This window comes from Homo sapiens, chromosome 11 (assembly GCF_000001405.40).
Source record: "Homo sapiens chromosome 11, GRCh38.p14 Primary Assembly".
NCBI lineage: Eukaryota > Metazoa > Chordata > Mammalia > Primates > Hominidae > Homo > Homo sapiens.
Genome location: NC_000011.10, coordinates 42,082,371 through 42,098,371, shown reverse-complemented (window position 1 = coordinate 42,098,371; position 16,001 = coordinate 42,082,371). Strand labels below are relative to the sequence as shown.

Here is a 16,001-nt window from a genome sequence, read left to right as displayed (position 1 = left end):
GGAGAATTGTATGTAAACAAATAAGTAGAAGCTGGTGAGTGCTATTTCAGAAGTAAGAAGGAAGTGCTGTGGGAGCACAAAGGACAGAACAAACAACTCAGCATGGGAATTTGGGGAACACTTCACCTTGGCTTCACCACTTATTTGTGTCTAAGTAGCTGAGCTGTTTCTACAAATAACTACAAAGAAATTGCTTGCATAATATATCACTTTCAATAGCTACTCACTGAAACATTTTAAACTGTTGCTGAGAGCAAGACTTTTTCTCCAGACAAATGTGTGCCTCAAATTGTCCATTTAGCTTATGGCATACAGCAAATCAAGCTCTTGCTTAAAAATTACAAAAATTTAGACATATGTGTCAAGGGTTGAGTATTCTTTGACTTGAAGAAATTTTAGATGGCTGAAGATAAGATCCCTAAGGGGGAAAAAAGATTTATTTGGGAAAAAATAAAAGAATCAGCACAACTTATTAACCTGATTCGACATGGTGGTGAGGCACAAGTACTCCAGAAATGCTGGTTGTTATTCAGCCATAAAAATTACTGATTCCCTGATTGAGCAAATGCAAACTGAGGGCCTAAAATGATCAATAATTTCTTAACTTATATACCTTTATGTTCATTAAAAGCATAAGTCACTCACCAACAATGTGAGTACTGAGACTTTGATTTGATCACTGTCTGAACAACATAGACTTTCTGTTTATGTTTATACTACTAATGTCAATATATATTTCTGAACTTTTAGAGATGCACTAAAATAAAAACTTAAAGAAAATACCAGCCAAAAGTTTAAAGGAACATAAGAAAAATAAAGCCTGATTTGGAAATTAGCTCTGGGAGGCAATATTGTAAAAGAGGGGCTTTTGAATCACAAGGCCCTGTAGCTTCTTATTTAAACTCTCTAAGCCTTAGCTTCTTCATCTGTTAGACAAGGAAGATAATATTTTCCCCAAACATTGCAATGTTTAAATAAGACATGTTAAGTGATTGGATCAGAGTAATTTATTACAAAATGTCAGTCCCTTTGCTCTTCCATTCCTGAAAATACTTTCTAAGAAAATTACAGTGAAAGGCTTTGGTGTTTAATAGGTCCAGCTCCATCAGTGAATGAAAATAGCATTTTATTTCAATGTTCAGAATAGTTAAAAAGTCAGTACTTATTGTAAATAACTACCATAAATATAGCAATGACCCATACTTTTATTTATGTAAATAATAACAGTAATGACCTGTACTGTTATTTATATTAATACATGAGAAGAAAAGCATTTGTTATGCACAGAAAACTTTGGGAGGCTTTCTAAAACAGTAGAAGGACAATGGACATTGCCACATGGAGACTTGAATTTTAATTCCAGCATTCCCTCAGTAAAGCAGTATGACCTTGTGGGGGCAATTACTTAACCTCTTTGAGGTTCCATCAGTCACTTAAAATTGGGGATTTAATAACCCAATTTTACAGGGATTTTGTAAGGATTCAATAAGATAATATGCATTAAGTATGCCTTGGTGTTTTAGTGAGTCATTAAATGAGTATAGAATCTCATGGGGCCTCCAAGCACATCACACCTGTACATCCTTTTGGTTTTCCTAGTTAACCCCTAATCTCTATAATTATTTGGTTTCTTCTTACCTTATGTTATAAAAGTTTTTAAAACAATTTCTTCAATAGCACCAACCTGCTTCACAGCAGGTTACAAACCTATCTGCTAAATTTTATTTCTGTTTATCAAATAGTACCCAAAATTGTCATTAATAATATAAAAATAAGGTTCCAGAACATAAACATTTATAGGTTTGCAGATTGCTAGAATGGGAATGGGCCTTAGAGATATTTCCTCTGCCCACCTCATTTTACAGAGGAGGAGACTGTGATGATCAAATTCTTCTTCTTCTGGGAGTTGTCATTCAGGCAAGACACTGGCCATGTACAAGGTAAGACTGACATCGGTTCATGGTGAGTTTGGAATCACCTTCAGACCATAATGTATCCTTTTTTGTGTGTATTAGTCCATTTTCACACTGCTGATAAAGACATATACAAGACTGGGCAATTTACAAAAGAAAGAGGTTTTATTGGATTTATAGTTCCACATGGCTGGGGAGGCCTCACAATCATGGTGGAAGGAGAAAGGCATGTCTTACATCACAGCAGGTAAGAGAGTAGAATGATAAGACCCAGGCAAAGTGAGTTTGCCCTGATCAAATCATCAGATCTCGTGAGACTCTTTCACTATCATGAGAACAGTGCAGGAAAGACCTGCCCACACAATTCAATCACCTCTTACTGGGTTCCTCCCATGACACATGGGAATTGCGGGAGTTACAATTCAAGATGAGATTTTGGTGATGATACAGCCAAACCATGTCATTCCACCCCGGCCCCTTCCAAATCTCATGTCCACACATTTCCGAACCAATCACACCATCCCAACAATCCCCCAACGTCTTAACTTATTTCAGCATTGACTCAAAAGTCCACAGTCCAATGTCTCATCTGAGACAAGGCAAGTCCCTTCTGCCTATGAACCTGTAAATTAAAAAACAAGTTAGTTACTTCCTAGATACAATGAGGGCATAGTCATTGGGTAAATACAGCCATTCTAAATGGGAGAAATTGGCCAAAACAAAGAGGCTACAGGCCCCATGCCAATCCAAAATCCAGTGAGGCAGTCAAATCTTAAAGCTCCAAAATGATCTCCTTTAACTCTGTGTCTCACATCCAGGTCATGTTGGTGCAAGAGGTGGGTTTCCATGGTCTTGGGAAGCTCCACCCCTGTGGGTTTGCAGGGTACAGCCTCCCTGCCAGCTACTTTCATGGGCTGGTGTTGAGTGTCTGCGGCTTTTCCAGGTGCATGGTGCAAGCTGTCGAAGGATCTACCATTCTAGGGTCTGGAGGATGGTGGGCCTCTTCTCACAGTTCCACCAGGCAGTGCCCCAGTAGGGACTCTGTGTAGGTGCTCCCACCCCACACTTCCCTTCTGCACTGCCCTAGCAGAGGTTCTTACTGAGGGGCCCACCTCTGCAGCAAACTTCTGCCTGGGAATCCAGGTGTTTCCATACATCTTCCAAAATCTAGGTGGATGTTCCAAAATCCCAATTCTTGACTTCTGTGCACTTGTAGGCTCAACACCATGAGGAAGTTGCCAAGGCTTGGCTACCCTCTGAAGCAGCAGCCCAAGCAGTACCTTGGCCTCTTTTAGTCACAGCTGGAATGGCTGGGATGCAGGAAACCAAGTCCCTAGACTGCACAGAGCAGAGGGACCCTGGTCCTGACCCATGAAACCATTTTTTCCTCCCGAACTTCTGGGCATGTGATGGGAGGGGCTGCAGCAAAAATCTCAGACGTGCCCTGGAGACATTTTCCCCATTGTCTTGGTGATTAACATTCAGCTCCTTGTGACTTATGCAGATTTCGCAACTGGCTTAAATTCCTTCTCAGAAAATAGGATTTTCTTTTCTATTGCATTGCCAGGCTGCAAATTTTCTGAACTTTTATGTTCTTCTTCCCTTATAAAACTGAATGCCTTTAACAGCACCCAAGTCACTTCTTCAATGCTTTGCTGCTTAGAAATATCTTCTGCCAGATACCCTAAATCATCTCTCTCAAGTTCCAAGTTCCCCAAATCTCTAGGGCAAGGGAAAATGCCACCAGTCTCTGCTAAAACATAACAAGAGTCTCATTTGCTCCAGCTTCCAACAAGTTTCTCATCTCCATCTGAGACCACCTCAGCCTGGAGCTTAATGTTCATAACACTATCAGCATTTTTGTCAAAGCTACTCAACAAGTCTCTAGGAAGTTTCAAACTTTTCCACATTTTCCTGCCTTCTCCTGAGCCCTCCAAAGTGTTCCAACCTCTGCTTGTTACCCAGATCCAAAGTCACTGCCACATTTTCACATATTTTTTCAGCAATGTCCCACTCTACTAGTATCAATTTACTGCATTAGCCCATTTTCACTCCTCTGATAAAGACATACCCAAGACTGGGCAATTTACAAAAGAAAGAGGCTTGATTGGACTTACAGTTCCACATGGCTGGGGAGGCCTCACAATCATGGTACAAGATGAAAGGCATGTCTTACATCACAGCAGGCAAGAGAGAGAATGATGAGAGCCAAGTGAAACAGGTTTCCCCTTATCAAACCATCAGATCTCATAAGACTCATTCACTATCATGAGAACAGCACACGAAAGACCTGCCCCCGTAATTCAGTCACCTCTCACTAGGTTCCTCCCATGACACATGGGAATTGTGGGAGTTACAATTCACAGTGAGATTTGGGTGGGGACACTGCCAAACCATATCATTTTGTTATTAATTAATGTTGAAAGAAAGAGTTTTCTATAATCTGTGACTTCAGATACACCTGCACTTGAATATCTGAATTTAACTGTGTGACTTTGAGTTTGTTCCTCTACTTTATTTTATTGCAAAATGGGGATGGTATTGACTATTGTCAACTGGCACATAGTATTCACTCCACAATATTAGTCTACTTCTTCATTTCTCTTTATTTTATTTCTCATAGATAATAACTTCTTTGGTGTCACAGGCTATGATTTATTTGTCTTTGACATCTCTGATAACTCCGTAAGTAGGGGTAGATTTCCAAAAAAATTGCAGAGTTCGCAAAATTATAGCAAATCATTGCCCCGAAGATTACTGAAAACAACTAGCATTTCTGGAGCATAAATATCTTGCTAAGCACCATTCTTTGCACTTCACATTTATTAATTATTTGTCTTCATATCAATCTATGAAGTAGTCACTGTTATTATGACCATCTTACAGATTAGAAAACAGTCTGCCACATTAAATGATTTGACAAAATTTACATATGCAGTAAGTGGGACAATGAGGATTTGAACCCAAATACACTGGGTACTCATTGACTCTATATGTTACCTGTAACCTATAGAGAACTAAATAAATGTTTAACTCACAAGAGTGTCTTTAGAAAATCAAGACTAAAACAATCTGGATGCATTTTCTTCAGTGTTCTTGTGGCTGTGGTTGTTTTTATTTCTTTCTCTTTCTTGGATTTCTGTTTTGTATACTACATTGCTAGAAACTATAATACTATAGATAAATCATCATCATTTGACTTCTGTGTGATGTTGTTTTTCTAAAAAAAAAAAAAAAAAAAGCTTATGCATTGAATTAGCTAGGTCCCATAACGTTCTCCTCAAAGTCCTTCCTGCCCTTGTCAGCAACAGAATCAGCAGCTGTAGCCAGGAGTGTCAGTAAAGAGGCTTGATTAAATATAAATACGTCTATGGAGTCATATTTAAGGCAAACTTTTTAGGTCACTGCAGTTGGGAAGAGAAAGTGATTTTGGATTTTGAGTGTGAGATTAAATTCTAAATAAATGAGGCTGAAAAATAGAGTACATGGCACCTGTGTGTACCCTGAATCCAGAGACCGAGAAAAAATATTAAGAACAGTTTAAAAAACTTACCATGTGAAATATGCTGTAATATCTTTTCTTTATCTTCCCTCATAAAAAAAAAAATATCCCAGCTAGGAAGATTGCAAGAGAAACATGTATAAGAACTTCCACCAGTGGCATCATTTAAAATGAAAGAATTTTTTTTCCACTCACCTAACTCTCTAACCATATAGGAAAATAAATAATGTAAATAGAAGACAAGTGTTAAACTCAATGGAATATATGCTTGAAGTTTTCCATAATCATTTGGGCTTCAAAGATAATTTGAGGGGATTGTTGGTTCTGGCCCAAACGAAATAGTCCGTTTGTCCCAGGTCCTCCTTCTTACAACTAAAAAACCTGTGACATAACACAGAAAAATAAACATAGGAAGTTGGAAGAGTGGAAAATGGCAAAGAAGGAGGGGTGTCTAGCGATGTTGAGAAATGACACAGTGGCACAGTGGTGAATTCCCTGGGTTTACTTATTATCTCTCATATATTCATATTGGGTGCCTCCAATCCAGAACAGCCAACAGAGCAAAAGCAGCTCTGAGAAAGCCTGTTAAGCCTAGCTAAATGACAGGAGAAGGGATGGCCTAAGACAGCAAAAAACCTTTTCAGCAAAATATTGGCCTAGTCAGTCCAAATACCTATGGAAAATTACCCTGTACCCCTCATGGTTTCTGGAGGGCTGATTTAATTGTCAATATCCCACCCCACCAACCGGCAGCTGGGGAAAACAGACAACAGTGCTGTAATTTTTCTGCCTTGTGATAATGGTGCCTAGCAATGAGCTAATCTTCCATCCCTGGCTCAATGCAAGTGGGTGGCACTCTGTTTCCCCAGCAAGTGAAGGTAGTGTACCTGCGTCTGAGCTGGGAGCTGGTCTCTCTTCTAGTACTCAGCAGAAGCAGTCAGTGGGTATGTTGTCAGCAGAGTCCAGTGGCTAGCTGAGTGTCCACCCTCACCCAGCGGCAAAGGGTGCAAGTCAGGGGAAGACAGCATCCTACTTTCTTTCATATTTGTAGTCAGTGAGAGCTGGTGGGGAGCGGAACCCCCCAAAACCACCTGGTACCAAGGAGAATGACCAAAGCAATTCGAGGCAGGGCTTCTTAGCCCTCTACTTCAATATAGAACCCTCATTGCTGTGTCAAAGGGTTCCAGTGGGGAGCTGAGCATCCACCCGTGTCTTTCCTTAATGGAGCAAAATGAACTGGTGTGTGTTGGGGCTAGTGTACACTCTTGATAGCATATCTTCTATTAACTGTTTTTTTTCCCTTTTTTGATTATCTAAATTTTCTACAGATGTCTCCTTCAGCTCCCAAATGAAATATTTGTACTTGAATCCTTGCCTCAGTGTCAACTTCTCAAAGAAACCAAGATAAGGTATCATCCGACTAATATTTACTCAGAATTTTCTAGATTCAGAACATTGTTGTAGGAGTACTGTATTTCTGGAATAAAACAATGTAAAGTAAGCTGTCTCTATTCTCGTGGAGCTAATACTTTAGTGGAGGAAAAGGAGATTCATCTTGTCAGTAATTATTTAACTTAAATTGTGTTATGAGCTATGAGGAGAAAGGAGGTGACACCAGGGCAATGCAATGCTAATTAAAAAAATAATAAATCCCTTGGATTCATCACAATCCCAATCCCATTTCATAATCCAGGTCTGAATCCACCCTTATAAATAGTTCATCTCCACCACTCCAACTCTTTCTAAAAACTTGCCGAATGGTAGGTTAAGCAACACACATTCATGTGTTAATTCATTCATATGCCAAATAAAACATTATTAAGAATCTAGCATGTATCAGGTACTGTGTTACAAAATAAAAATGATTAAAATATTATACTGGCACCATACAGTATGTAATCAAATAGAACATAACAGAAAATGAAATGTTGATCTAAATAGAAGAGGATGACAAAAGAGAGGAAGTCCCCCGGAATATGGAAGAATAGGAAATTTCAGCTTTGAAGGAATTCCCCCTCCCTCCAAAAAGAGAAAAATATCAGGATGCAAAAAAAGACTCTTCTTTTCACTATTTTCAATAGTACATTTGAAGAACTGAAGGGTTCATAGAAAAAATGAATCTATAAAAATATATTTGGCAAGTACATTTCAATTTATTTCAGTTCATTATTCTTTATCTATCTCATCTAAAGAGTTCCTTTAGCTTAACAGGATAGAATTGTGGAGTGCTCACTGGGGGCCACAGGAGCGGGGATTGTACCTCGCTCAATGATGGAATCTAATCTCTATCCCATTGTGCCTTTGCACATGTCCTGTGCTAACCACCAAGCCCCGGCATCCTTATATTTCTGTTGTGATGTGTGAATGCCAAGTCGATTTAAGAATCATTGCATTGAGCACCAGGCAGGAGTTAATTTATCCCTTGATGTTAGAATAGATTCACATATCTGCTACACTGAATCACTTAATATTATTTAAAGAGAGAGGAGTTTAAGTGTGAGAAATGTCTTGGAGCCACTATTACAATTCCACATAGGTCTTCTCGTCTTTAGTTTGCTGTCTATGAAAGGTCATCCCCTGGGTTACACTGGCATCACATGAAGTCATTTTATTATATCTTCACGGTTTTTATCTGAAAATTGTGTGTTTATTTTATATACACCATCACAATGCCAAGATGTACCAAAGATATTGTTTTCCCATTGTATGTTCTCAAATACCTCAAAAATCGTTATTTTTTACCACATTAACCAGAATTGCAATGAAATCATTAATTGAAAAAGTCATTGCTTAACAGTTTTCTCCACCACTAAAGTTTGCTCAGCTTCATAAAGGCAGAGCCATGTCTACCTTGTTCACCACTGACTGTCTAGTTTTCAGAAAAGTGCTTTATACAAAATACATCCTTGTTGAATGAAGAGTGAAATGCTAAGAAAGCTATTTTTATATCAATGCATCTTAATCTTTAGCATATATAAAAACATCCTTGCCTCCATCTCCTCCAGCTAGAGGTTTTGATTCATTCAATTGGGATGGGCTCATGATTTACGTTTCTAACAAGCTTAGAAGTGAAGGTTAGTCTGCTGGTTTGGGCAACATATTTTGGAAACCATTGGTCTACATGACGTTGGTTCACTGTATGGTCTAGCTAAAAAATACATGATAATGTTCTAGGTCTGCAGTTAAATCATTGTGGCCTCCATAGCCCATTTAAAATGTTGGGCATAGTGGTTATGAAGCAGTATAAGTAAAGTTAGGAGGCCGTACTGACATGTCTCTTTGAGTGAAGCCCAGCGGGCCCCTTTCACAATTAGCTCTTTTAGCTTGCACCTTCATGCATCAACACCTAACTCTCTTATAAGATAAGTGGTTGTATAGAACACCAGCAGAATATCAGATGGCTACAGGTTCCCGATACCTAGTACAGCCTGGGAAAGAGAACAAAAGCCCCTTATTCCTGATGTAGATTGGCTCAATCTCCAGCCAATTAATCAGCACTAAAAGCCCAAGAAGCTATTAGCTACAAATTCCTTCCTGGAGGAGAGGGCAAGGGACTTCTCCAGGATCCCACATGCACAGCTAGGCTCAAAGTTAATGTATAGCAAACTTTTCATCATTTTAATAGTAAAAACACACTCCTAGGTGGAGATTTTACACGCCAATGATACTTGCAATGTGCATTAGTGCACGAAGATTCTGAGCGCATGCGCCAACTGCAGATTCACCTCTGCATACTTGACCTCACCAGTATTTTATGTGTATGTAAAACTCCCATAAAAAAAAATTCCTCTTAAGGCACTAGTTGCTGTCTCTCTCTTTGAGCAGCCTTCTTTTCCTCTTAGAACATACTTTTGCCTTGCAATAAACTTCTTTGCTCATTCTAACTTTTGACTCACTCTCAAATTCTTTTGTGCAGCTAAATCAAGGACCAGAACTGGCCTACTGGTGACAGTTTGTAATGTCTTGTGTCCCCGTGTAAAGAATAAGTCTGTATAAAGTCACAATCTGTTATGGTTTATTTGGGCCAGAAATAGACTCAGGTAGCCCAAGGGATTATGACATTCCCTGACTGTTGTGGCTCAGCCCCTCATGTATCTATAACAAATATCATTTAAAATGTCTAACCCGGTGGGGTTACCTTTGTCATAATTTTGCCTTTCTTCCTTTGTACCAGTTTCTGTGTATATATGAGTAGGTCATAAACTGTTGACCCATATTGTCAATCTCCTAGGATTTCCTAAAATCTGATTTGTTTCTGAGATTTAGAGGACAGTTTTCAAGGGACTTGAAGTTTATATTCATATTCCTGTTGCCCACCAACCACAAACTCATTGCCAAACACCACATGTCAATGGAAATCTAAGAGCACATATAGTGCTATGTCTCTTACTGACACCACAACTGGTTCATCAGCCTACTGATCCCTCTTTTATCATAATTTGCTACTCACATTGTCCAGCTTCAGAGATATTTGAATTCAACTCTACTGTTTATTAAACTCTACTATTTATTGCAATACTTCTGGGTTAATTGACATTCTAGTAGTTTCTTGGAAATTAATTAATCACAAGTTATCTCTACTCACTGCTGGTTTAGGAGGGGTGGCTGTCTTATGTTTTGAGGAAGATAAACAGTGAGTTAGTTAAGGAAGTTGGAAAATAGAAAACAATAGTACATGTACGGAGCATCATTACAATTGCTGTGCTTCCTGTTCCCATTTTCAGGGGGCCAAATGTGGGCTGCAATTCTAACCATTTGAATCTTATACACTCTGCTTGTCTTTACCATAAATTTCCCTTTACTGATGCTTGGCTGTAAATAAGTCCCTTTTCCAGAAATTAGGCAAGACAATGGAATAACCACCAGTTCTCAAGGTAATCTGCAGCTCTTTTACTTCAAATGGATGTGGAGTTCTCCAATCTCCCACTCCTCCACATGAGAACTGAGACCTTATCATCTTTCCCATCCTTTCCTAGTCATCAGTTGATTTCCTGGTCTATACATGGCTTATTTCTTCCAAACAACTGCAGGTTTCCAACTTCCTTTAAAAACAAAAAACAAACAAACAACACACTCTTTAGACAGCATTATATATGGCATATAGAGGATCAAGGAAAAGTGCATTTGGATATTTTCCTCCAAGATTCTAGTTTGCTTCTTGGTGTCACAATGCATTCTCAGAAATCACGTATTTCTCAGCACTCTAATGAAACTGAAGGAGCTGCTGCTACATATTAGAGGCTATCATCAATAACAAATCCATCTCATTGAGACTTTACTATCACCCTAAGCTCTGAACTAAGAATGTCTTCCCTCCCTCTCATTTACACACCGTGCTAGAAGTGATTGTCTCTTCTTATAATCTCCTCTAGCTTATTTTGTGTTATTTTCTGGATTCCCATCTGTGAACGAATCATGTTGGCATTATAAAGTCCTTAGCAAGTGGGATTCTCCTACTTCAATTTTCTCTTTACCTCCTACATTAGTCTTCAGCCCCCTTTCTTTTTGGTGATTTCAAAATTGGTGATTTCTTTTCCTCCTTTTTGGTTTCTTTTTATACAGTCATATGTTGCATAATGGTGTTGTTTCTATCAACAACAGACCACATAAATGATGGGAGTCCTATAAAATTACAATATCATATTTTACTGTACCCTTTCTATATTTAGATATATTTAGATAATTTTCTACAATATTTAGTACAGGACCATGCCTCACAGTTTTGTAGCCTAGTAGCAATAGGCTATACCATATAACTTAGGTATATTGTAGGCTATACCACCTAGGTGTGAATAAGCACATTCTGCGATGTTTACACAAAATTGAAATTGCCTAATGACACATTTCTCAGAATGCATTCCCGTAATTACATGAAGCCTGACTGTATACACCTTTGTATTCTTCAGCTAGATAGAGCCAAGTTATCACTGTGTCCCATTCACAGAAACTGAAATCGGTGACCCTGACTTTCTGGCAGCTTTGTATGTAAGCATAAACAGATCAGATTTCTGCTGGCCCATGCAATTGACTGTCTCTGAGAAAGGTTGTAGAAAGTAGGCATAAGAACAGCTACAACTACCATACTTGATATCTGTAGAGTTCTCGTTCACCAGAATCATGACCAATGTAGAGCTTTTGAATATTTGTGGTAAATATTTCTTAGCTGCGGTACTTAAGTGTTCTCATTTAGCAAAAGATAGCCTGAGATGCAGAAGAATAAAATGCCTTACCTGAAAATGCACACGAATAGAGAGGGTTACATCTCATATAGGTGCTTAAAACTATTTATTGGATTGCATAAGACAGCAAATGAGTTAAAGCCCTTGGAAAACTATATGGAGATCCAGCTCAGGGGCTCTTTCCAAAAGCTGTCATCCCTCTATTCAAGTAGCACAGAGTACAGTCATAGAGAGTGGGAAAGCTGAGATGTCCTTATTTCTTCACTCTCTCACTGTATAAACAATGACACCTGCCCTCCTTTGCCTAATACAGTTGTACCATAATTTTAAGAATAATACAAAGAAGCAAGGAAATGTGTCACATTGAGCTCCGTGGCCACAGTGCCTAGCATCATCCCTACGTTGTAGTAGGTATATGATGGATACTCACTAGATAAGAAGAATGCTGGAGGAAAAATAAAAAGCAAAGCCATGAGAAGCTCTGCCAATCATACCCTCTCCATTCAAATATTCATGAACTGATGAGGCGGAGAAATTGTTCTGCTCTGTTACAAAATCTGTCCCCGTTCCCTCTTCCACACATGTAAGCAGCAAGCACTTACTGTCAGATTTTGACCCTGGGGAAGTCATTCATTTCCACTCGAACCAGCTGTTTCAAATAACTTGTGCATGTTGCATTTACCAACAGAAAATTATACCTTTTTTTCTTTGATTCACTGAGGGATTTTTGTTTGGAAAACATTTACTAGTATCTTTCAGCTGCTATGCTAGATTTCGCAGCAAGCTTCTCATTTTAAAAGAGGAACCCCCACAATGTCCCAACCTTCAAGGTCTCTTGTGGTGTCCCGCGAAGGGGAACATGAAGGGAGGTGGAAGGGGAACAAAGTGTTCTCCTGGAATTAGTACTCGCCAGGGGCTGCTTCAGAGTACAACTATTAAAAGGAAGCTTGTAGAGTGGGGAAACACCAGAAGAATGGAGCAATAAGAATAAGGTTCAAACCTTGGATTCAAAATGTTGAGTTATTGAACCTTTACATTGCACCTTCATAAAATGAGAATAAAGATACGACTCTATAAGGTATGTAGTATATTGTTTCTAATACACAAGAGGTGCTCCAAAATTGTAGCTACTAATTTAACTATTTTTTGAAAAAAAGTTCTGCCCTTTTTAAGAAGGCAAAAGTAAAACTTAACACATCACCAGAGATATCATTAGGACAATATGGGATATTGTTTCCATGGAGGTTATAGAATTGCACCAATAAAGACAGCATTATTTCACATACCACATTCTCTTACAAAATCTAACTTGTAACAGATAATTTACATTTCTAGAGAACAAGCTCTTTATGGTACATAGAAATAATCCTGTCATACAGTGACCATTCAGTAAGTATGCATTTAATAATAAAATGCATAGATTAGTGATACAGACCATTATGATGACAAACGATAGTGCAACATTTATTTAGTAAGAAGTGAGTAGATGCAGAACTTTAGGTGCTATGAAGGATAAAAATTCTGAAGGCGACACTGCCTTTGCCCTCCAGCATGATTTGGTAGTTAGAGCATATAGGACATGTTTTAAGAAGAGTGAGTCATCTTGTGACTGAAGCATCAGATTTGGGGAGATTTGAGGTTTAATGTTAAATGTATTTAAAAGTGTAGAATGATATGATAAAATACTTTACTCTGAATTCTGATAAACCATCCAGAATGCTTGATCCAGAGGAAAGGCCAATCAGATGGAAGCAGGAGGATATTAAAACGTCTGGTTTGCTAGTTTTCCAACTATAACCTACAGGATACAAAGGAATGAGTGGCAGGGCTTTGAGATCAATATCTTCACTTTCACCAGTCAGTCTCATTATACATGGGTTATATATTTTAAAAATAAGTAGTCTTGGTGAGGAGGGTAGAAGACGACAAACCTCGGATGTAATATGTTGTGAAAATTAAGTCAAATTTGGCAATAATTAAACAATTACATTTCAGAGTTTGGTAAACATTTCAGGGTGAAAAGAAGGAAAATCAAAAGTTGCTCATGAAATGATAGTGCTGGAATAAAGATTAAGTTATCCAAGATAAAAAACATAAGAAGAAGGGCAGTGTGTGTTCCTTGAGTGTGTCAAGGAACAAAATTTTAACGAGTTGAATTTTAAAGATCTAAATGGCTTTTATTAGCAATTCGTAAGTCCAGTAGCATTCATTCTACAAAATATTACAGAAAGGCACTCAACTAAACTGAGCAGAAGAAGTGAGCTTTACAGGCAGAAAAGGCTGAAGAAAGCAGAAATAAAGAAAAGAAAACAGATTGATTGTTGAAAGTCACTTTTCTTATAGGGTGAAAGCGACGACTTCTTTATCATGCTGGCTCAGGTTAACTGTGCCCCTTTAAATTGATTGCAGTGAATCTTCTGTTTGTTTTTTTTTGTTTTGTTTTATTTTGTTTTTGTTTTTTGTTTTCTGTTTTTTGTTTTTAAACTGGCCCCTTTCTAAGTTCCCTTTGATTATCTGGCACATGGCATCAGTGACTCCATTCTGGAGTTACTCTATTCTTTTTTGATCTGGTCTTTTATAGCCTAGTGCAGGACCTCAGTCCAAAATGAAGGCCTCTCATACATTTTATTTAAGAGGTGAAAGGATGAACTATCCTAGGTGTGGAATAAAGTGACACTAATTATTCTGCAAAGAAAAAGAACAAGTGACCTCATCAGCAAGATACTCTTCAAGCGTCTTAGATTAACTAAGATTAAGTATATATCAAGGATTAACTCTCCAAAACTTGTCCACCGACTTCTGCCAAATGGCTGGCCCACACTGGGGCAGGGTCCTGGGTTGTCCACCTGGATCTAGCTATGATTTAGGACTGTGAATAAATGGTGGACAAATAACTAAAGGAAAAACGGATGAAAATTATATCTATTATTCTTTTCCCACTAAAGTATTTACTCACTGATTTCTAATGATGGAAAAGACACATTCTAGCCCCAAAGAACTGAAATTTTCCTTTGGTTAATCTGATCCTTTCAAGAAAAAGGGCAGTGCCCCTTTTTCTTCATGAAAATATCCCCTCTTTGAGGGTCAAGTCTGCTGAATCCAGTCTTTAAGATAACAGATTTCTTCTCTTAAATAAGATTTAAATGTAAAAATTAAGTAGAATCTCACCATTTTAGCTTTTTGAGTAACTTTATCACATGATCTAAACATCTCATTTAATGAAACTGGAAATGTCAAAGGAATTCTCTGATTTGACCCCTAGGTTAAAAGCTGCTTAAGAGCCAGGAAAATTTCTTACTCTTATATTTTCTATGCCTAGTGCATTTCAGGTACTCAGTACCTGAAAAATCAATTTATGCGCTATATTAACTTATCCAAGATGTTTATTTCTTACTTCCTTTTTTCTCTCTCACACACACATACATACACATGTGTGAGCATGCACATATGCACAGATATGAATATACATACACATATCAGTAATAATCTATGGTTCAGCTCCAGTCAGCATACTGTCAACATTCATCACCTGCCAAAGTGTATTTTAACTGGACAGAGTAATTACCTATTTTTTCCACAGACAAAAAAATCTGTAACAGTGATACAATGAGGAATTTCATACTAATTTTTAAGTTTCAGATAAAATTTTTATATATTCATGTCTCTATCAAGATAAGATGGGAATAAAATTTCAAGGTTACAGAATTTTACACAAGGTTGTCTATGAAGTTTTGCTGATGGCTATGCTAAGATTACTGCTTGAATGGCTATCAGGACCGGAATTGAGTAAGTTCATATCAAAAGTGAAATTAAAGGGGAAAATGATCTAAGAGGATTTTAAAAGAATGGGAACTCTTTCAAATCTTTCTTCGAGGTGTGAAGATATTTGGAAGATTTGTTTTAAAAAATGACAGTGAACAGTATAATAATCCATACATTTATGGAGGGTAAACAGTATAATAATCCATACATTTATAGAGGGAGTTCCACTTTGCAAAGCACTCTCACAGACATTATACCATTTAATTCTCACAGCAACCACAATGCAGTGGTTCCAACAGAAATTAGGTTCTCCAATTTATAGGTGAGAAAACTGGGACATCAAGGATTAATCCGAGGCATTCAGGCTGAGTTTTTTTCTCCCATTTAGAAGCCTTTTACAGTCTCCTTGGTTACATTTAACAATTAACCTGTGTGGAAGACAGGAGGGTTGCTTCACTGCTTTTTCTTAATGGCCAGAAAGGACCACCTTTGAGAAGACAAGCAACACACTGAGACATGCTATTGAAAATGAATCTGGCTGAGCTAATAACTGACTTCAAGCAACTTCATTTTTGCCTTTGAAGCACACTTTATCTTGGTGAAGACAAAGAACACACTATTTTCAGTCTGCATTGCTAGCTCTAG

At 38.0% G+C, this 16,001-nt stretch overlaps 1 long non-coding RNA gene across 1 annotated transcript in view; it reads left to right on the top strand.

The window, feature by feature from the left end:
• The first annotated feature begins 12,913 nt into the window (after positions 1-12,913).
• The window catches only part of LINC02745 (long intergenic non-protein coding RNA 2745), an 83,737-nt gene continuing 80,649 nt past the window's right edge, over positions 12,914-16,001 (top strand). Inside the window, exon 1 of the long non-coding RNA NR_135065.1 lies at positions 12,914-12,983. This is a non-coding gene — a long non-coding RNA (long intergenic non-protein coding RNA 2745). The remainder of the gene's footprint in view (positions 12,984-16,001) is intronic.